We start from the raw sequence: 22,867 nt of genomic DNA on the forward strand, positions 1-22,867 counted from the left end.
AGATATTTTTGTTTGCCCCATTTAAAAAAGGTTAAATTGAGTCACTGTCTTCATTTTCATGAGTACCTTGTAGAAAACTATTAATAATGATAAATAACTAAACTTCTCTAGATTACCTTAATTTTTTTGTTGTTGTTCTCAGTACATCTAAGAGAGTAGCATATAGGCCATGTGTATGTGGTGATAAATGAAAATGCAGGGGTCTTACTTGGTTATTTAGGACTTAAGATTTTATCTAGTCATTTTCAACTGTGATTGAACACTTCCCTTTAACTCCCTTCAGAAACTCCAAGATCATATTGTATCCCAGGTACTAGAATTTCTGTTCAGCTGTTTATAGGCCTCCACCACAAGAAATTGGCTCCAAACCTATTCCCATTACATCATCACCCACTAATGTCATTACACCAGAATGAAATCTGCTTTGAGGCTTGTATTGTTGTTTTCCTTCCATTTCTTTCCCCTCATCATTTCCTTTAGAAGGAAAAGGGAAGGAAAAAAAAAGAAAAAAATCAGAGACCTGTAAACATTTAAGAGTGAATTGGACATCCCCACAGGCTAAACCTAGAGTTGTCAGCTTTCATTCCATTCTGCTGTGATAGAGTGTTCTGCCCAGTATGTATCCACATGGAGCCTGGAAAGTAACAAGTCTGGTCATGTGACAACTGGCTTTGGTGCTTTGCTTTCAGCCCCTCAGAATTAGTTCCTAATGGCTCACATAGCTCCCTGCCAGCATCCCGTCACTGGCACGTTAAACCTTTTCAAATAATTCCTCAGAATAGAGATTCTTAGGAGAGCACTAAATTTCTCCATTCTTTGTGTTTAATTAAACTGTTCTTGCATTTTAATATTTGCCAGATAAGCGCTTAAGACATTACAATACAGGTTGAGTATCCTTAATCTGAAAATCTGAAATCCGAAACTTTTTGAGCCCTGACATGACGCTCAAAGGAAATGCTCATTTTCGATTTTGGATTTTCAGATTTGGGATGCTCAACCAGTAAGTATAATGCAAACTTATTCCAAAAAAAAAAAAAAAAAAAAAAAAGGCTGGGCGCGGTGGCTCACGCCTGTAATCCCAGCACTTTGGGAGGACGAGGCAGGTGGATCATCTGAGGTCAGGAGTTTGAGGCAGCCTGGCCAACATGGCGAAACCCCATCTTTACTAAAAATATAAAAAATTAGCTAGGCGTGGTGGCAGATGCCTGTAATCCCAGCTACTCAGGAGGCTGAGGCAGGAGAATCACATGAACCTGGGAGGCAGAGGTTGCAGTGAGCTGAAATTGCACCACTGCACTCCAGTCTGGGCAACAAGAGCGAAACTCTGTCTCAAAAAAAAAAAAAAAAAAAAAAGTCAAAATCCCAGACATTTCTGGTCCCCAGGCATTTCAGAATTTCAGATAAGGGATACTCAACCTGTGTTATCTACAGTTATAGCTGACATGAGGATCCTTATTCATCTTCCCTCCTTTGTCACAAAGCAGTTGACTAAATTGCAGGTTCTAGCCCTCTTTCTCTATCCTAATTTTAATTCTACTTTTTTTTTTTTTGCGATGGAGTCTTGCTCTGTTGCCCAGGCTGGAGTGCAATGGCGTGATCTTGGCTCACTGCAACCTCTGCCTCCTGGGTTCAAGCGATTCTCCTGCCTCAGCCTCCTGAGTAACTGGGATTACAAGCGTCTGCCGCCACGCCCGGCTAATTTTTGTATTTTTAGTAGAGATGGGGTTTCACCATGTTGCCCAGGCTGGTCTCGAACTTTTGACCTCAGGTGATCCACCTGCCTCGGCTTCCCAGAGTGTTTGGATTACAGGCATGAGCCACCGCACCTGGCCTCTCCTTCGTTTTTTTAACTGTCTTTAAGGCTTCCAGTTGCCAGTGTGCTGTGTTAGGCTTGTGTTTAATAACATGGTTAAGGTTAGGAAAGAACTGGGCGAACTGGCAAGTAGTTTCATTTCAGGGGCTTCATGTTACCTACACAGTTAATGGCCTCATGTCCTTTGAGACAGATTTGTCTGAGATTAGAAGGAATAATCATCATCAGGAGCCCCAGAGAAACAGGATCACAGTGTCTAAAACAAAAGAAGAAACTTAGCGTGCTCTCTCTCTTTTTTTTTTTTTTTTTTTGAGACGGAGTCTCGCTCTGTCGCCCAGGCTGGAGTGCAGTGGCGGGATCTCGGCTCACTGCAAGCTCCGCCTCCCGGGTTCACGCCATTCTCCTGCCTCAGCCTCCCAAGTAGCTGGGACTACAGGCGCCCGCCACTACGCCCGGCTAATTTTTTGTATTTTTAGTAGAGACGGGGTTTCACTGTTTTAGCCAGGATGGTCTCGATCTCCTGACCTTGTGATCCGCCCGCCTCGGCCTCCCAAAGTGCTGGGATTACAGGCGTGAGCCACCGCGCCCGGCCCTCTCTCTTTTTTTAAGAGACAGACGCTTGCTATGTTGCCCAGGCTGTCTTGAACTCTTGGGCCCAAGTGATCCTCCTGGCTCACCTTCCTGAGTAGCTGGAACCACAGGCATGCACCTTTGTGCCCAGCTTGGCTTTTATCTTTTAAGACTGGGTTTACATTTCTGTACAGTACTAATCACTGGGGACTTTTAATATAAGAATTTGCTGAAGGCTGTGGCATGGAGGATGAGAAGCCACAGAGAACTTGAAAAAGCTTTGGAAAGAATGGCATTGAAAATTATGGGCTAGACTAGGGCAACAAAGTACTTTCCTCACCCCACACCCATATAAGAAGTTAAAAGTCCTTGATTAACATTAGGATTTCAGCTTACATTTCTAGCAACTTTTGATATTCTAGTTGGAGGTCTTCAGTAGTCTCTATGGTATAAGCTAGATAGAAGGAAAAACTTTCCTACCAATGTTTTTAAGATGTAAGTCTGTGTTAAAATCTTTTTAGCGTAATTATATACCTTATCAAACTGAAAGATTGAATAGATTCATAAAAACATCCACAAATATACAAATGCCTAATCTGGACAGAAAGTCTGACTTTATTGTTTCTAATGTGTCTTATGTATGTGTTTATTTTCAGTTGTCGAGATGTCCACAGAAGGAGGATTTGGTGGTACTAGCAGCAGTGATGCCCAGCAAAGCCTACAGTCGTTCTGGCCTCGGGTCATGGAAGAAATCCGGAATTTAACAGTGGTGAGGAAGAATGAGAAACTTTTATTAGAAACTTTTAAAGAGTATAAAGAGCTCTGGGAAATTAACCAAAACTCAGACTAAAGCATTTTTAATTTCAAGCACATTTACAGAGGCATGGTTCACCCCTGACCTGTGGGTAGGAAAATGAAAACATAATTTGCCTTCCGTGAGGTAACTGCAAGAGTCTTTTATATCTCAGTGTTCTTCCATAGGCGTGTGGTGTGCAGTGGATACTTTGACTTGGAGGTAGTTTAATGTGAGGCATATCCTTTAGGACTTACAGAAAAACAGAGATCTCATCTTCCTTCAGTAGCTGTAGCTCAATTTTTTAGGCCTGATTTAGTGGCCCTACGACATTTCTAGAACTTGGTAAAAACTATTGGGCAATTTATTCAACAACAAATCTATTGTGAGTCAGGAACTCTTTCTAGGTGTTAAAAAGATATACTTTGATCGCAGTTTCTCAACAGCTGCATTATTGACATTTTGGGCCAGATAATTCTTTGTTGTGAGGGGCCGTCTTATGCATAACAGCATGTTTAGCAGCACCCCTAGCCTCTACTCACTAGATGCCAGTAGCACCCCTCCCCGAGTTGTGACAACCAGAAAATGTCTCCAGACATTGGCAAATGTCCCCATGGGCAAAAATCATCCCTTGTTGAGAACTACTGACTCAGAATAATTAAATATAACCTCGGCCTGTGAGGAGCTTACAATCTAGTAATTACAACCAGAATAATTTAGTCAGTAGGTATTTACTAAGTACTTACTGAATCAGGCACAGTGATGAGTCCTGAAGCAGTAAAAGTCAAGGAGCACAGAGGACATAGTGCTTGATTCTTTCTGGTTGAGTTTAAGTAAAGGGAACATTTTTGTTGAGTCTTAAAATATGAGTAAGCATTCACCAGATGTGAAGGATGGGAGGGCAAAGACAAGGGCATGCATAAAGGCATGGAGGCCCAGAGAGGACCTTGTAGTTAGGGGAACATCAAGACATTCAGAGTGCCTGGAGGTTACTGTGTGTTTAGTGGAGGTTGAGGGAAGGAGTAAGTATGTGGTATGAGAGTGGTAGTGGAAGGTGAGACAGGTTAGAGTTGGAATATTTTCATAATACAGTTGTCATGTCCTTAATGAAGAATGTTCATTAAGGTGTCATTTTAGCACATACTAAAGGAGCTCCCCATGTTGGCTGTGTCATTCCTGCCCTGGAAATACTAGCATCCTGGCAGAGCAGACACTGGATTCCTTCCTGATGTAGAATTAATGTTGCAATTGCTTAAGGTTAGTGACCTTTAACTTCTGACGTTACAATGTCAGTTTATTCATTCACTCAACAAATACTTATTATGTACCAACTAAGGCTATGCTAGATACTGTGGATACAGTAATGAACCAGACAGACAGGATCATTGCGCTCATGGAACATATATTCTGATGAGACAGGCTAATAAACAAGTAATTAATGAAATGAAATAACTTATTATGATAAATGCCCACTGACTTCAGGGATAAAAAGTAATTCATGTTTTGGATATACCTCTGGGTCATGTTTGTTTATATGAAGAGTTTTCAGCAGTTGAACTTGGCTTAGCCTTTCTCAGACTGGCCTGGGTTCAGAGTGGATTTCCACTGAAAAGTCATTGTTCCTCTTCTGCAGTCTAAGGTAGTAGTTATCTAAACTGTCTCAGATATGAAAGAGAAGGGAGGAATAAATGAAATGATAAAGTCAAAAGGATGGGGTGTTTTGTTCATATTTTAGGGGGTTAATCTCATGATTAAGCTTATCAGCTTTTGGTGCTGGGGTCAGCTTGGTGTAAAATGAATGCTGTCCTGGGGTGTGGTGGGACTAGGCCAATCGAGCAAGTCTGTGCCGCAGCTTGAGCCGAGAGGCATAAATCCAGGATCAGGCAAGTGGCCAGATAAACTCTGGAGGTTTAAGCTCAGCACTTAACTTTTCTGTTTTGTTGGACTTTGATTTTTTTTTTTTTTTAGTTGTAGTAAAAAAACACATAAAATTTCGCCCCTTATCCATTTTTAAATGTACAGTTCAGAAGTGTTAAGTATAATCACATTGTTATGGAACTTACCTTGAGAATTTTTTCATATTGCAGTACTGAAACTGTGCACTCAATAAACAGCCACCATTCTGCTTTCTATGAATTTGACTATTTTTGATACCTCATAGAAGTGGGATCATATCGTACAGTCCCCTACTTACAATGATTCAACTTAATGTTTTTTTTCCACTTTACAGTGGTTAGAAAACGATGTGCATTCAGTAGCAGTTGTACTTTGAGTACCCATTCAACCATTCTGTTTTTCGCTTTCAATCTAGTATTCAATAAATTATGAGATACTCAACACTTTACTATAAAATAGGGTTTGTGTTATATTATTTTGCCCAACTTTAGGCTAATGTAAGTGTTCTGAGCACATTTAAGGTGGGCGAGGCTTAACTATGATGTTTGATAGGCTAGGTGTAGTAAATGCATTTTCAACTTAGGATCTTTTCAACTTAACAATAGCTTTATCAGGATGTAACCCCATTGTAAGTAGAACAACATCTGTATTTGTCTTTTTGTCTTATCTTATTTCACTTAGCATGTCTGTTGAAGCATGTGACAGGATGTCTTTCCTTTTTTATCTTTTTTCTTTTTTTTTTTTCCTTTTTGGAGACAGGGTCTCACTCTGTCATCCAGGCTGGAGTGTAGTGGTACAATTATGGCTCACTGCAGCCTCGACCTCTCAGGCTCAAGCGATCCTCCCGCCTCAGCCTCCTGAGTAGCTGAGACTACAGGTGCACGCCACCACACCCAGCTAATTTTTGTATTTTTCTGTAGAGGCAGGGTCCCACCATGTTACCCTGGCTGGTCTCAAACTTCTGGGCTCAAGCATTCCTCCCACATCTGCCTCCCAAAGTGCTGGGATTATAGGTGTGAGCCACCATGCGTGGCCTTTGTTTTTTCTTTTTTAAAGAGACAGGGTCTCACTCTGTTCATTGCTGGAGTGCAGTGGCAGGATTATAGCTCACTGTAGCCTTGAACTCTTGGGCTCAAGGGACCCTTCCTACTCAGTCCCCCAAGTAGCTAGGACTCTAGTTGTGCACCACCACACCTGGCTAATTAAAAAAAAAAAATCTTATGTAGAGATGGAGGTCTCACTATGTTGCCTAGGCTGGTCTCAAATTCCTGGCCTCAAGCAATCCTCTTGCCTTGGCCCTCCAAAGCACTGGGATTACAGACATGAGCCATCATGTCTGGCCTATCCTTTTTTTTTTTTTAAGGCAGAATCATACCCTGTTGTATGTATATACCACATTTTGTTTATCCGTTCATCTGTTAATGGACATTTGGGTTGGTTTCACCTCTTGGCTATTGTGAATAGTGCTGCTGTGTTACATGAGTGTGCAAATACCTCTTCAAGACCCTGGGCTTTGATTTGTAACCTACTTGGTTTACAAGTTTGATTGCCAACAAAGCTGATCATGATGTTGACCAAATTTTAGTACCTAGACTTAGTCTATCAGAAGTTAAAAGAGAATTACTTTGAGGGATTCAGTTTTGGTTCAAGTTTTGTGGGTGAAGAGAAAGAAAAGTAAAGAGGAAGTTGTCTTTAATCCTTCTTGTATTGGTGACTAATTAAAATTCTCCTCCTATGTACTTTTGAAAGGGACTCCTAGACCTCTGCCATGCTATGTCTTTTATATCAGGTGCTTAGAACAATGTCTGGCATGTAGTAGGTGCACAATAAATATTTGAACAAATTAGACTCCACTTCAGGTTTAGTGCAAAGCAACATCAATTCCATATTTGAGTAAGAATGCAATCCAGTAAAGTCAGGGTAATTTTTTTCCCTTGTGTGACTCTTATTTTCCCCTCTTCTCAGGAGTGCAACACGTGATGGCATCTGCTTCTCTGACTGCGCTGCTGCCTGTGTAACATGACCAAACATTTTAGCATTTAATCTGTCCCTTTCCAGAACTCAACAGTACTTAAAACCAGACTTCCTCAGATGTGTCAGAGCCTCTTAGGTTGACACCTCACAATATCTAACAGATTAAAAAGAAAAAAATTCCTTATGTTTAAACTAGCCAATCATAAGTAAAACTTACGAGAATATTCATAAAATGTGATCTCAGACTGGGACACAATTTGTTTCAAAAAGAAGTAATTGAAGTTTGCTAGATGATATATTTCATGATGTGTTGGAAACACTGGCCTCAAGTCCTTTTGGTCTGCGTCCTGTAAAAGCAATTTATCTTTCATTTTAGCTTGTTCTCATGATTCTTAAAAGCTCTGTAGTTGTCTATAAATCCAGGTGGTGTTCAGCTGGGATTGAAATTAGTTAAAAACCATATCAAGATGATTGTGCACCAGAGTGATTGTGTAAAACCCTATATTCCCGCACAGCAGAGCTCTGGGAACAGCAAATAACAGACTTCTTCGTGTTGAGTTTTGCCCCAGTGGGCCTCTTTGAAAATAGGAAAGAGAAAGCTAACTTTGTCTTTATGGAGGTGAGTTGGGGGCAGGTGGGCAACAATGCTGAATTTCGAAAAGAAAAATCTAATTCTCTACTTACTCTTTACATCCCATTCAGCCTTCACTTAACTGTAATTGAGTGCCTAGGTCACTTTCTTTTAATTGGCAGTTTCATCTTTTCATTCCTCAGTGCCTCCTGATTGGGTGATGACATTTCTAACATTACAATCAAATCAGATAACTGTTTAAACAAGAACTTGGTGATGAAGGTTGGTGGACTGTTACAAAACAGGTCCTGTGCTGTGTGAGCCCTTTCTGTAGAGCAGTGCTTCTCAAACTTTATTGTCTGTATGAACCACGTGAGGGAGGATCTTCTTAAAATATTGATGCTGATTTAGTAGGTTAGGAACGGAACCTGGGATTCTGTGTTTCTTTTGAGTTCCCAGGTGATACCATTGCTGGTCCAAGGACCTTACTTTGAGTAGCAGGGCCGTAAAACAGTAGTCCTTAACTCTCACTTGGATCATAGTCACAAGGGGAGTTTTCAAAAAACATGATGCCAGTACTCTACCCACTAGAGCAGGGGTCCCCAACCCCTGGGCCACAGACCGGTATGGGTCCATGGCCTGTTAGGAACCTAGGAACTGGGCTGCACAGCAGGAGGTGAGCAGCCAGTAAGCAAGCATTACTGCCTGAGCTCCACCTCCTGTCAGATCAGCAGTGGCATTAGATTCTCAAAGGAATGTGAACCCTATCATGAACTGCGCATGTGAGGGATCTAGGTAGCACACTCCTTATGAGAATCTAATGCCCACCCTGCCCATCTCTGGAAAAATTGTCTTGCACAAAACTGGTTCCTGAGGTTGGGGACCACTGTCCTAGAGTTCCTGATTCAGTTGGTCTCCAGGAGAGAGCTCAGGCATCTTGTTTTTCAAAAGCTTTTCAGGTGATTCTAACCTGCAGCCCCAAGATTGAGAATCATTGATTTCAAAGGGTTGAGAATCTTGACTTGCCAGAGTGCCTGACTGGGTAGGCCTGGAAAAGGTTTCTCTTTATTATTTGAAACTCTGGATGTTCTTCAGTGCAGCCCAAGATCTGTTGACTTTTCTTTGTCTCCAAACTCTCATTGAGTGAATTCAGATTTGAATTTGTCTTGAAATGCAGCAGTTTCAGATGGAAGCATTTTTAACGTAGTTCTTTGGTAGTGGTCAGGAGCATGAGAATGTTCTGAGAGATAATCTGCTCTTCTGCCTTACTGATAGAACTCCCAAAAGTAGGGGGGAGCAGTGTGTGTCAGCTGTTCTTCCAGTTGAATCAGTATCAGGAGAAGGAGTTAAGGAGTTAAATGTTACTCACTTCAGTTACATGGTAGCTAGTGAAGTGGGGAGCATGAATCCAAGTTTCGTGGGCCTCAATCTACTGATTGTAGAGGGCCTCCCTTTTCCAACAAGCTTATGGTAAATCCTTACATGTAACTAGAAGGCTAGGATAGGATTATAGAAAACTGGGTGATTGTCAACAGGGATGAACCATACACACCCCTCAAGATCCACTTTTACACACTGCTTCTTGAGATCTCAAGGTTTCAGGAACATGAAAAAATAGTTTGTCACAAAGAAAAGCTTTGGGAAGGGGATTAAAGCAGAGCTTATTATAAATTTCTGCCTCATTTTACATCTCTGCAAGGCGGGAATGATCTCTTGATCCTTGACTTTTGTTGCTTTTGATTAAAGAAGAGAAATTGAAGGAGTAATAGTTTACTCTTTCAATTTGGGGAAAGAGGTCTTTTTTATCAACTTTGGGCTTTAGTTAAGTAATCATGGAACGTTCTTGTACAAATTATATTTAAAACCAAGCCAAACAAGAGCACACTTGCAAGAGAGCTAAATGTATGATCATCTTGTGCTGTATGTATTAGCCTGGGAGGTTTTCCAAAGGAATGATCATCCCTAGCATTCTCTTTGGCATTTCTATGTAGTGTCATCATCTTCTGTGATATGCCACACAAGAAGGAAGACCAGTGGTTGATTTCTGGGATTAAACTTTTAAAAAAACTCTTTAGGATCTGGCCCCAACCCAGTATCCTCTTTCCTGCTTTTCCCCTCTATACTCAGGTAGTAGATCTAAAACTTAAATAGGCTGTGATTTTTTGTCTCTCTCTCTGTCTTTGTTGTTCTGTCTGAATAACATTCTCATACTTTTTCAACAGGCAAATTCCCAGCATCCCTTAGACACAATTCAGATGTCATCCCCTTTGTGGAACATTTCCCAATCCCTCACTCTCCCTCCAGCCCCACATTGCTAGCTGTCCCTAGCAATATGTCCTTCTTTGTGTCCCCGCAGGGGATCCCTCCCCTCCAGTATTGGGTAGGGGATTATAATGTTTTTATGTGACTATCTCTGACAAACCACAAGCTCTTCAAAGGTAGGAGTAGATGTGTATTTTTTTTCTTTCTTTTTTAAATAGTGATGGGGTCTCACTATGTTGACCAGACTGGTCTCAAACTCCTGGCCTCAAGCGATTCTCCCATCTCAGCCTTCCAGAGTGCTGGGATTACAGGCATGAGCCACCATGCCTGGCCTACATGTGTATTTTTTGCATAGTAGTAGGTATCATACATTTACTATTAGTTGAGTTGCTTGAATCAGTAAATGAAAGAGCAAGGGGAAAAACAAGAATAGAATGAACCTGCGCTACTGTTTCCTTTTGTTGAAATTTTAATAAACTGAACTTCTAAGTCTCTGTTACTCCAGGGTTAGTTTTAGTAGAGGGTTCATGGAAAATGTTGATACCTAATTTGGAAAAGGAAAAGATGAAAAATTGGTGTTTGAAGTTTGTAGAGCAGAGTGGTAGCCAAGCAGCTTGTTGGGTTTGCATGGAAAAATTAGATGTCTTGGTGTACATTTTATCCTAATAGATTCTCTTCTTTCTATAATCATAAAATAGGTTCTGGGAAGACTGTTGATGTTTTTCCAAAATACCTTTTTTTGACATATATTTGAGATTTTCTGTTGGTCTTGCAAAAGAAAGTTCACTTATGCTTGTTAATTACATCAAATCTGAAATAATATATGCTCCTTCCATAATGTGATGATGCAAATTCCCAGGTGAGCATATTAGGTTTAGTGAGTCACATTTCAGACCACTTATAGAATCAATCATTTGACACCTAGTCCCAGTAGAGATTTTGCTGATTTTAGCTAATATCTGCCTTTGCACCTTCCTCTTCATTGCAGCTCTGAAACTCAAAATTGATTTTTTTCCTAGAATTGCATCCATCATTGGGCATGTGTTTAAATACCAGTAGTTTCAAAATAAAACAAAAAAGGGCTTAAGTCTCAAATTATTGAGTAGTGCTGATCAAAAAAGCCCTTTCCTAAACTATATCCACAGTGAAGTTATATGGTCCTCCCCCACTCCAGGCTTGTTAAGAAAAAATAACACAGCTGTTCCTAAAAGGCAGCTGACAAATTCACCCTCATCCTTTTTCTATACTCCTCTACCCCCACTTGAAACAAATTTTGGAGACAAGGCCATTGCTACTGTGATGAGAAAGGAGCTCTCCTCCCCAGTTTCTGTTGTCAGGTTAGTGCAAATGTCAGAAATGGCCACTATCAGTTGTAAAGAACTGTGGATCACTGTGGTCAAGTGCCCCGGCGTTGCTGTTAGTTTGGTCACTGAATGGAAGAAAGAACTGGCAGTTTAGAGGAATACCCCTGAGACAGAAATCTCATTTTAATCTGCATATTGCAGACTGGTAAACTTACTTGGAAAAAAAAAGAAGGCGCTCATAATGTCCCTCTATGTTGTGCTGACGAAAAAAAAAAAAAAACAGATATTGCTTGGGGCTGTGTTTCATGAGAGCACTGTTAGAGGCCATCCTAAGCTTTTTCTAAAGCCCATTAATTCTTTGAAGACCTGCATATGTTAAGTAAAGAAGAATTTTGCTCTGGAGCTTGTATTTTCTTCATTTCATCTGTACCTTCTCTCCCGACATACGCTTCCTGAAGAGAGGGACCAAGCCAGAGTGTTTCCTACTGCCTGTCATGCTTTGCCACACTGTTGATTGTCCCCACCATTTATGCATCTCTTGTTGTTCATTTCAGAAAGACTTCCGAGTGCAGGAACTCCCACTGGCTCGTATTAAGAAGATTATGAAACTGGATGAAGATGTGAAGGTGAATTCACATTCATTTTTATTATTTCTTATTGAAGCTAAGTGATGGGTAGGTTATTGCTCATTTCTCTAGAGCTCAAAGTTTAATTAAACAAGAACACACAAAAATTACTGTCTGTTGCTTTGTTATTTGGTTCCTGTGCAAAATTGTTAAGTGAGCCAAAATTGAGCAGTTTTGGTTACTATATGGATCATCCTGAAAATTTTTTAGATGTTGAAAAAATAGTTGATGTTGGGTTTTTTTTTTTTTTTTGAGAGTTTTACTCTGTTATCCAGGCCGCAGTGCAGTGGTGCGAGCTTAGCTCACTGCAACCTCTGCCTCCCAGGTTCAGGCAATTCCCATGCCTCAGACTCCCGAGTAGCTAGGATTACAGGCGCCCGCCACCACACCTAGCTAATTTTTGTATTTTTTGTAGAGACAGGGTTTCACCATGTTGGCCAGGCTGGTCTTGAACTCCCGACCTCAGGTGATATGCCTGCCTCTGCCTCCCAAAGTGCTGGGATTACAGGTGTGAGCCACCGCATCTGGCCTTTTCTTTCTTTTTGAGACAGGGTCTCACTCTGTCACCCAGGCTGGAGGGCAATGGCATAATCACGGCTCACTGTAGCCTTCACCTCCCAGGCTTAAGTGATCTTCCCACCTCAGCCTCCCAAGTAGCTGGGACTACAGGCACGTGCCATCATGTCTGGCTTAATTTTTAATGTTTTTTTGGAGTGGGGGACAGGATCTCACCATGTTGTCCAGGCTAGTCACGAACTCCTGGGCTCAAGCAGTCCTCCAGCCTCAGCCTCCCAAAGTGCTAGGATTAGGCATGAGCCACCATGCCCAGCTGGTATCTCACAGTTCTGTTCACAGTGTAGTATATACATGTATCATCAAATCAACAGGACAGTGCCATCATCTTAGCGTCTTACATAGTTTGTTGATCTGAACTCTTAAGAAATTTTTGATAATGATATTCTACCTGTTCTAACCTTTTGATCTATGAGTTTCTTTTACATGAATAATACTTGTGAGAGGGTTTGCGTGGGCTTGGCCATTTCTGTATTCCTAGGAGTCCATCTCCATTACAGATCTCAGAGAAAGAGGAACTCTGTCTCTTTACCACTCAAAATTAATAGTCTTTTGTATTTTCACAGAAAGCTAACAATTGATAGTAATTTTCCCTTTTATTAGCTCCTTTCTTCCTCACAGTAGCCCTGTGAGATTTGATATAATAAGAATTATCAGTTCCATTTTACAGACAATGGAAATAGACACAAAGAGGTTAAGTGACTCACCCAGAGTGATAGGACCAAGATCCCATTTCCCATCTGCTGCTTCTTTAACTCCAGAGCTCTTTCTGTGGCTGTATCCTGCACAGACTACCTCACCAAAGGTTTAGAACCTTGTTTGACCAAGAGCTTCAACTTTGAAATCAGACACATCAAGAAAGTTTATATGGCTTGAGCATTTCCTATATGCCAAGCCCTGGGCTGGGTACATATATTATCTCATTTGATTGCCACAATAAAACTGAAAGGTTATCCTCTTTTTCAGTACATGAAAAAGCCCAAAAGGATGGGAAGCCTGCAATTTTATCCAAATCCATTGGCTTTCAAGCTCATTCTCCTTCCTCATATTGTTTCTCCTTGGATTAGAACCTAAACCCTGCCACTTACTGGCTCTATGGCTGTGGGCAAGTCACTTCATCTCTCTTGACCCCTAGTTTCTTTGAAAGGCTATTATAAGAGTAAGAAAACACCTTGCACAAGGTTTGGCGCATGGTATGTGCTAGATAAGTATTCTTTCTCCCTGTTACCTGCTTTGTTCCCACTCATGGATTTATTTTACCTTGGAATCTCTTGAGTATACCACCTCATTTTTTGACCCTTGCCCCATAGTCCCATGCCAGGCAATGAGGCAAGAGACAGACTGGTTTGCATGACTTGCTGGTGATTGACAGGGAGGGCCTGTGTCTGTTACAGATGATCAGTGCAGAAGCGCCTGTACTCTTTGCCAAGGCAGCCCAGATTTTTATCACAGAGTTGACTCTTCGAGCCTGGATTCACACAGAAGATAACAAGCGCCGGACTCTACAGGTATTATTGCAGACTTAGATTAGGAAAACTGGGGTAAGCAGCAGCCTTTGCCTGTTTTCCTGCGTGGTGTTGGAGAAAGATTGTTCTCCTTTAGGACCAAAGATTGTTCTCCTTTAGGACCAAAGATTGTTCTCCTTTAGGCCTCTATCAAGCTGACGTGTCATTGGCATCACCACTGTTGGGAGGCAGACATACCTTCTAGCCATGGTGATTGTGTTTCTCCACCAAAAATCTTAATCAATTCTCTCCTGGTTTTCACAGCTTAGTGACTGAACTCTTTTCCCTTGGTGAGCCCTCACTATAAACAGAGGCTCAAGTGATAAGAGTATTTACCTGTTTCCAAACGTAATCAACTTCTGGTTGGGAGCCTTGAGAGATTCCAGGAAGTATCATCAGTCTCACTAGCTTCATTAGGCTTTTTGTTCCTTGTCAGCCTTCCTGGGAGTCCTTTTCTTTTTCTTCTTCTTTTTTTTTTAATTTTAATTTTTAACCTAGCGAATTCACATTCATACTGTATGCAGAGCCCTTGGTCATTGACTCTAGAAACCCTCACCCTATAGCCAAGCCCTGGCTCTTAGAGGAAAGATTTCCCAGATACAAGAAGAAGAGTGTAACAAGTATAAAACAGTGGTGGCAGTATTTTAACAATGAAGCCAAGAAAGTAAATTATTTTCTCTTCTTGTTTCCCTTTACCTACAAAGTAGAAAATGCATGTGTTTATTCATTTATTCTAAAAATACTTACTGAACACCCACAATGTGCCGGGCACTTTTCTAGGCTCTGGGGATTAACGATACACACAACAGACAAAAATCCTTATCTGTGGGAAGCCTGCATTCTAGTACAGCTTGTCAATGCGTCATAAAGTTAGGATTTGTGTACATTACTATATGAAAGTTTTAAAGCAAAAAAAGCAAAAAATACTGAGCTCCAATAAATGATATGCATGTTGAAGTCACAAAATTTATGTTGCCTTGAAGTTAGTCTGTGGATCCAGAGAGATCCAGTTAAAGCTCCCTTCAAGATCAATTCAGATTAGAAAATAAAATAGGCAAAACACTTGGACAGACCTTCAGAAAAAAAGATAAACAAATGCCCAATAAACCCATGAGAAGATATGCAACATCATTAGTCATCAGGGAAATAAAAAACTGCAGTGAGATACTGTTTTACACCCACTAGAATACCTAAAATAAAAAAGACTGACAATACCACAGTTGGTGAGGAAGTGGAGTGTCTGAAACTCATATATTGCTGGTCAGAATCTAAAGTGGTCAGTCAGTTTGAAAAAATATTAGACATTTTCTGATAAACATATCCCCCTACTCTGTAACCCAGCCATTTCATTCCTAGGTTTGTACCCAAAAGAACTGTAGCCATTCTTATATAAAAATGCTCTTAACAACCTTGTTTATACTACCTCAAAACTGGAAACAACTCAAGTGTCCATCAATATAGGAATATATAAACAAATTCTGAGGTATTGATGAAATGGATTCCTCCTCAGCAATAAAAAGAAACAAACCATTGCTCCATACAACATGGATAAATCTCAAAGATACTATGTTAACAAAAGGAACCAGAGGGAAAAAATTACATAGTGCATGATACAATGCATTATTACCACCTATAGTGATAGAAATCAGAGTTGTGGTTGCCCAGATTTAGGGGAGTGTGGGGAAGGATATTGACTGGAAAGGGCTAGAAGGAACTTTCTATATTCCTTTTTTATTTTTTGAGATAGGGTCTCACTCTGTGGCCTAGGCTGGAGTGCAGTGGCGCAATCACAGCTCATTGCAGCCTCGACCTCCTGGGCTCAAGTGATCCTCCCACCTCAGCCTCCCAAGTAGCTGAGACTACAGGTGCATGCCACCATATCTGGCTTAAAATTTTTGTTGTTGTTGTTGTAGAGATGAGGCCTTACTATGTTGCCCAGAGCTGGTCTTGAAACTCCTGGCTCAAGCGATCCTCCTGCCTCAGGGAATTTAAAAAGCAAATAAAAATTTTAGGAAGACCAACTTAAGTATATCTATGTTTCCAAAATACTCTAGAATATTTTATTATATGCTGGAGATGTTTATTATTTTTCTTTTTCCCCTTTTATTCCATCAATAAATGAGCCATTTAGATAGATTGAGTAGATGACATCAAAAAATGTGACACTATATTGTAGTCATCTTAAATGAGTTCTGGCAATCTTAAGATGGGCCCTGCTTCAGTTGGGAGGGTTTATCGTCAAGCTCGTGGTTGGCAAGAAGGGCGGACTAGAGTTTTGCATTTCAGAGGCTTGGGGCCATCACAGATACAAGGGAAAGAAAAAAAAAATTTCCATCCTCTCCTGTTTTGTCCGATGAGTCACCTTTTAAGGTGTGGTATATAGAGTTTGCTAAGGATTTCTGTTAGTGTGTTAACATTTTCCCCAGCATTTTATTATGAAAAATTTCAAACATAAGCAAAGTTTACAGTGAATACCTGTATACTTACAACCTAGATTCTACCATAAACATTTTACTATGCTTATTTTATTCTCATATCTGTTTATCCCTCTATCCATCCTTCAAGTAATCTGTTTTTAAGTGCATTGTAAAGTTTACTTTGCCCAAATACTTTAACATGCATATCATTCACTAGCGTTCAGTGTTTTTTCATATTGTTTTTCCTTTTGCTTTAAATCTTTAGTAAAGTACACAAATCTTAACTATACATAATATGTTGGGTTTTAGTAAAAATCTTTTAATTTTATTATTCAAAGAAAGGAAGTATCACACTTGGAGAGAAACCCCCATTAGAGCAGGTCTTGGTTTCAGTATCATTAGCCTTCTGACTCCTGTGTTCTCTTACCTCTCTTGCTGCTGTTCATAGCACAAACTATGAATATCAGAATTCTCACAAGCTATGTTTTTTATTTGGGAATTCAGAACTGCAATGATAAACCCATGGTTTAAGTATTGCAATTTAGAATTCCCAAATAAAAATCATAGCTTGTGAGAACTTAGTGTATATAGATCCAGTGACTTGAAAATGTTGCAAAAAGTTATTGAATTAGGATTTTACCTAATTCAATACTTGTGAACCAAAGGGAAAATATTATTTAGGGCCTTAAAAAGATTATAAACCTAACTTTGCTAACCCACAGAATGACCAGAAACCTGCTAATTGAGATTACTAGGTTTGTAATTTGAAAATCGCGGGGAGAGGATCAAGCAGGAGTAGCAGTGGTTGGAGGCTCAGATACCCCATTTTACAGTGTGAGTTACATGTATCTCTTTCTTTTTTGTTGATGGTTGCCCACCAGGTCTGATCATTTAAAGTATATGAGTTTGGCTGTGCTTATTTCAGCTGTAGACTTGCCCGTAGGTGTTTAGTTTGGCTTAAAAGTCGTCTTACCTTACTTGGAGGGTATAAAGCCAAGTGAACTAGTTTCTCCCCAGGCTAATTTTTCACACCGCTCTTCTTTGTTACAGAGAAATGATATCGCCATGGCAATTACAAAATTTGATCAGTTTGATTTTCTCATCGATATTGTTCCAAGAGATGAACTGAAACCTCCAAAGCGTCAGGTGAGCTGTGAAGGGATTGCAGTTGCTGCTGACTGAAGAGCGCTTTGTATACTGGTGTCAGATACGCTCCTTCTCTCTCAGCACAAGTCATTTGCTATTCCTTTTGCTTCTCGTTTCTAGACCAGATTCATTCTTAACATCTCCTTCTGTTACTCATTTCTGGATACTTTTAACTCAGTGCCTCCGAAGTGGTATTTCAGTGAAAATAGACAAAATGAAAATGAAAGACTTTAGTTACAAATGGTAAAGTTAAGCTCATTTCAAGTTATCTTAGGAAGTCTATCAGAGCTCTTCATCTGGGATAGGAGAATATTCCCAGAAAGTTATAGATTTTAGATTTTTAAGAAACAGCTTCTCTATGTGCACAGTGGCATTTGGAGTGAATGGACTATGTTTTCTCTTCCTCTATATTGTGGTTCATTATATCTTTATATAGTACCCTGACTGCACACTAGAATCACCTGTTGGGGTTTTAAAAATATCAGCGCCCAGGCTCTAACCCACATCAGCTGAATCAGAATCTCATGATGGAGCCCAGGCATCAGTACCTTTTAAAACTCCCTGGATGCTTTTAATGTGCAGTCAGATTTGAGAACCACCACTTGAGCTGTTTTGCAAGCAATCACAAGAAAGAATATGAACGTCTGCCTTCCCGTCTCTTCTGCCTGCCCCTCTCCAAAGGTCACACTAGTTGTTTTTTCAGCACCTTGGGTGCATATAGCTCTTAATTGTGATTGTAATAGACCTCTGTCCTTTAGAGCTCATTGTTTTAAGCATGCAGATTGCATGATTCACTAGGTGCCACTTGGGAAATTGTGGCAGAATCTCACAGGAGCAAAGCTGTGCCTTGTTCTGCTTGCTTTGTTATATAAAACTTTATTTTTAATGAATTATTTCATAGTATATTATCCTTAGAAGCAGTCATTCAGTGACAGCCATTCTCCCCATCCCAGCCTGTATTAATAACCAGTCAGAGAAAGTCTAGGAGAAGTGGGCATCCTAATGAACATTTGTAATTCTGACCCTGCATGAGGGCCTTTGGATTAGCAAGCCCTCTGTCACCTCCTTACTAGAGTAGGGTGTGCCTCACTGCGTCTCCGTTCTTTCTGGGCAGTCTTTGCTACTGTAAACATCCTTGACTGGAAGCTGTAAGGTGTTCAGAGGAGCTTTCAGTCGGATGTTTACAGCGGCAGGCTGCCACGGTCGTCCCCAGCTACGCACCGGCTTTGAAACATTGCAGGTTTGTGCCCACAGGCTCAATTCCTCCTCTTGGGGGTCCTTCCCTCCTCTCTCAGAAGTCACAACAAGAACTCAGGCCATTTATCTTCCTTCAGAACAAAGAGTATCATACACCTGCTTTCCTTGTTGAAATTGTTTTCTCCTTTTGTCTATCAGAAGCCCCCTTTAAAACAAGATTGTGAGCTCTGTGATGAAATCAGGCCTTGCTCACTCTCATTGTGCTAACTCCTTGTTTTCTGTGGGCTGCCTGCTGAATACACTGGCTGGAGAGAAGGGTCACATCCTGTCAGTTCCTCCAAATTCCTCAGTGCTTCTGGGTCTCTCGGGGTGTCATACAGCTCCTTATTCCATCTTAGCCAGACTCAAAATGCTATGATCCATCTGATTTTAAAGTGTGTCTAGCTGAAACAGCTTCTTGTTGCTTGGATTTAGTTCTTTGTAGGTGTTCGAGGCATTGATTGGCATCGTATTCGGGACAGCTGCTGCCTGGCCTTTGAAAGGTTGAGATTGCTGAAAGCTGGCCTGAAATTCTAAGATAGCATTTTTAATCCTCTGTAGACATGAAGTTTTCCCAGGCTTCAAATTGGCTGGCACCTCCTAAAGTCCTTTAAAACGCCTACTCTCCAAAACCCACCCTTTCTGAAGGAGGCAGCAGTTCACTCTTGCTACTAAAGCGAATGTACTTTTTTCCAGTCAGGGCTGGTTGCACAACACTGTAGAGATGGCCCTAGGATGTGATGCTGCTCTTCTCTGGCACTGTTCGTCAGTCTCAGCTTCTGGAAAGATTCCAAGAGCAAGCCCTGTAGTTGGGGAGGCCACTGCTAAAGTTGAGCAAGTGCCCCATTCTGGATTGATCCAGTCATTAAAGCATTGTTCTGCCACTTGGGGCAACCTCCCACTGCTGGGAAAAGGAACTAGTCAGAAATACTGAATTGTGAGTCCAAGGCCCTGACTTCTCAAAGATACTTGAGAGTTTCGCTTGTTCTTCAGAGAAGCAAGTAAAGATTATTTGAAGGTAGGAGGTAGTTGAGGCCTGACTTCTGCCCCACTAAAGCTATTGAGTTGAAAGTTCCTGCCCATTGAAATGTCATTATCTTTTCACCCATTTCTTTAAACCAAGCATAATCATTTCCTTGCTGGCTTGACCTCCATTGGCAGAATGAGTCTTCATAATGCAGAAGAGCCTTAGATATGCCTTCTTCCATTCCAGTGATTTGAGAACAGTTGTGCCTTGTCCTAACAACACAAACCTAGGTGCCTCCACTTGATTCTCAGTGTCCTAGATACTGTCTAGTTCATAAACAGTTTAAGAGGATGTAGTAAGCAGCATAGGAGGAGCTCTTGTCCTGCTCTCACAGCTTTTGGCAAGAGATATTTTGGGTTCTGGAAGGGGTTTTTAAAGGGTTTGCTTTTTGTCTGACAAAAAGATCATATTCAATACTAGATCAGCTGTAGTTGGGGATAACTGGAGACTAAACAATCACAGGTCACGGCTAGAAAATGCAGGTGTCTCCCTGCTGCCTAGCTTCCTACACAGCTGGTTCTGAGGCTCTCATTCCTGTATACCCTCTCATTACCCAAGAGCTTTTCCAAGTTAGGTCTGGATTTCAGTGATTTGTGCTTTTTGTAAAATAATAAGGGAGATCTCAGTGGAACACAAGTACCTTGAACCTACTTCAATAGCTTTGCAAAGAGCAGTTGGCTTCTGTTTCTTGGCTGCAAAAGGTATCAGTATTTTAGCTTTGCCACAGCCAATACCTAGTTTCCAGGCTGACATTTATTTATAATGATGATAAGTTGGGGTTGAAATTGTTGTGGAAATTGAGACCTAGATGAAAATAAAAGGGAATCTCCTTTTCCTTCTGCCTTAGCATAATCATATTGAGGGTTAAAACTATTTGTGTCTGAAGCACAGACTATATCAACCTAAAAAGTCAGTTCATATATTAACTTAGAAACCCAGAATGTTACAGGTATCTCCCTAAGCTGGGTAGATGGCTGTCAAGTAACCATGTCATGCAGAGACCCATGTTTCTCAGGGGTAGATACTGGCAGTCCTAGTTTTAGTATCCTAGCCCCCAGACATCAGGCAAACAAAGGATACTCAGCTCTGTTCCACAGGGGACACTAGCTGCTTCCTCACACTGTGGCCACAGAGTCTTAGAGGTACCAAAAGAGAGTTTAGAGACTACTTTTTTCTATTGGTAACAGCTGTTGGGTTTAAGAGAATTTGTCATATCAGCAAGTTGGATTCAGAGAACTACTTTCCTGCCTCTAACTGTCTGCCTGTCTAAATCCATTCATCATTCATCACGCACTTACTGAGTGCCTACCTGGGAACGCGGGGGATAGCAGAGAGCAAGAGAGAGCTAGGCTTTGCCCTCATGGTGCTTAACATTTTAGTAGAACAGACAGTTAATTTGACATGCAAGTGCAAAAATGTATACTGTGAGGACAGTACTTTGGAAGCACAGTTGAGGGCACCTAACATAGTGTGGGGATGGGGTCAATACCAGCTTTGTAAATGTTACTTTGGGGAGTTGGAGGCAATCCACAGGGTCTGTGTACATCTAAGAAGTGTCTTTTCCTCTTTTCTGGAACGTGGCAAACTTTGCCCTGAATAAGGACATGAGTAAATTTAGCTAATATTTTTACTCAGCCAGCCCAAGTGGTTCTGTGTTTTTATTGTTTTTGTTGTCCCAGGCAGGGGCACCATGTGTCACACAGGTCACTCCGGATCAGACGCCGTTCTGTGTCAGTGGTCAGGGGCTGATCAACCCTGGACCCTGTGGGCTATAACCATGCTGTAGTGTGTGTAAACATCCTACACTCTCAGCTGTGAGCTCAAGGTGGCTGGGAGAGGGTTGTTTACTCCTTCTGCCATGGAAAACATCAGCTGAAGAAGGAACAGTCTCCACTCCGCAGATCGGACAGAATGCGACCTCCCTAATCAGCCAAGGCAGTACCCCAGCGGAGAGCTGTCCATCAGGCCCCCTGGGTTGCGCTTCTGTGGCTAAGTACAACCAGAACCAGATGTGACACTGGATAGACATGCCCTCAGTGACCACAGAGCTTTCAACAAGCTGTGAAAAGCTGGGTACTTGCCTACCAGTGCTCTCGATCCTGAAATTTCAGCTCAGGAAAAGCCCTGTTTCCCATTAACCTGTTCTGTCCCCCTTGAAGTGGTGGGGCTAAAACGAGAAGAGTGCTGCCTATTTGGGAGATTGGGACCAGGCCTGAGAGGCATGATGTTTGGGTAGCATCTTCCCAACACTTGCAATTAGCACTGTTCTCAGATCACAGGCCTTGACAGCATTTACTGACAAGCACTGCTGGTGTGTGGTTTTTAGTTACGGTACTTATTTGCCCGTTTGCAACTTATCATGCAATGGGTGATTATTTCGTACTTCAGAAATTGGCTGTATGTTTTGTGAAGCCTATAGGATCTGTTATTTTTAGTTTGATTTAGCATAACTGGTCTCTTTGAATTCCACTTTCCTTTGGCTTCAAATGTGGAGAGCTCAGCATTCAGCAGGCAACTGCACATAGCCTGTTTGGGGGAAGAGTGGAAATTCACTGTGGCGGCTGCTGAGTTGGTTCTTTTCCTCTTACCTGCCTCTCTTTCCACCCAACAGGAGGAGGTGCGCCAGTCTGTAACTCCTGCCGAGCCAGTCCAGTACTATTTCACGCTGGCTCAGCAACCCACCGCTGTCCAAGTCCAGGGCCAGCAGCAAGGCCAGCAGACCACCAGCTCCACGACCACCATCCAGCCTGGGCAGATCATCATCGCACAGCCTCAGCAGGGCCAGGTCTGTGAGCTGCTGAGGATGCCCATCCAGCAAGACAGTGCCCCTTAGGTTTTTGGATGGGCAGAGCTTGATGAGGGCAGAGAGGCAGCCAGATCATTATAGAGCACTGGATTTAAAGTCTGGAAACTGGAACTTTTCCCCAGATTCAGCTACTGGGGTGAGATGTTACCCTAATCTCTCTGGACCCTGTTTTTCTCAAAGGTCAAATGAGGAAAGTGTACTAGACAGTATGTTCTCCAGGATCCCTATTAGCTCAGAAATTTTAGAAGGGAAAAAAAAATGTCTGAAATGCCTTATGAAGAGTAGAGGTGCTAAAGTGAACTCCATGCCTGCTGTCTGTGTGTCTGTGTGAGAAGTGGAATTTGTGCC

The 22,867-nt window shown here is 41.5% G+C and overlaps 1 protein-coding gene and 2 non-coding genes across 38 annotated transcripts in view; all 3 read left to right on the forward strand.

The window, feature by feature from the left end:
* The window catches only part of NFYC (nuclear transcription factor Y subunit gamma), a 79,900-nt gene that overhangs the window by 44,093 nt on the left and 12,940 nt on the right, over positions 1 to 22,867 (forward strand). For 35 of the 36 annotated variants that reach the window (XM_017001365.3, NM_001142588.2, XM_006710661.3 and 32 more), the window contains 5 exons: positions 3,040 to 3,152; positions 11,738 to 11,809; positions 13,777 to 13,890; positions 17,355 to 17,450; positions 22,325 to 22,498. In XM_017001365.3, coding sequence (XP_016856854.1) covers positions 3,048 to 3,152; positions 11,738 to 11,809; positions 13,777 to 13,890; positions 17,355 to 17,450; positions 22,325 to 22,498 — 561 coding nt within the window. In that variant the 5' untranslated portion in view covers positions 3,040 to 3,047. Of the gene's footprint in view, positions 1 to 3,039; positions 3,153 to 11,737; positions 11,810 to 13,776; positions 13,891 to 17,354; positions 17,451 to 22,324; positions 22,499 to 22,867 lie in introns of those variants that run through there. The other variant, NM_001142589.2, reaches the window with a different exon arrangement.
* MIR30E (microRNA 30e) lies at positions 18,559 to 18,650 on the forward strand. The gene has a single exon (NR_029846.1). It is a non-coding gene; the product is annotated as a microRNA 30e (primary transcript).
* MIR30C1 (microRNA 30c-1) lies at positions 21,488 to 21,576 on the forward strand. Its single transcript, NR_029833.1, has one exon. It is a non-coding gene; the product is annotated as a microRNA 30c-1 (primary transcript).

This window comes from Homo sapiens, chromosome 1 (assembly GCF_000001405.40).
Source record: "Homo sapiens chromosome 1, GRCh38.p14 Primary Assembly".
Taxonomy (NCBI): Eukaryota; Metazoa; Chordata; class Mammalia; order Primates; family Hominidae; genus Homo; species Homo sapiens.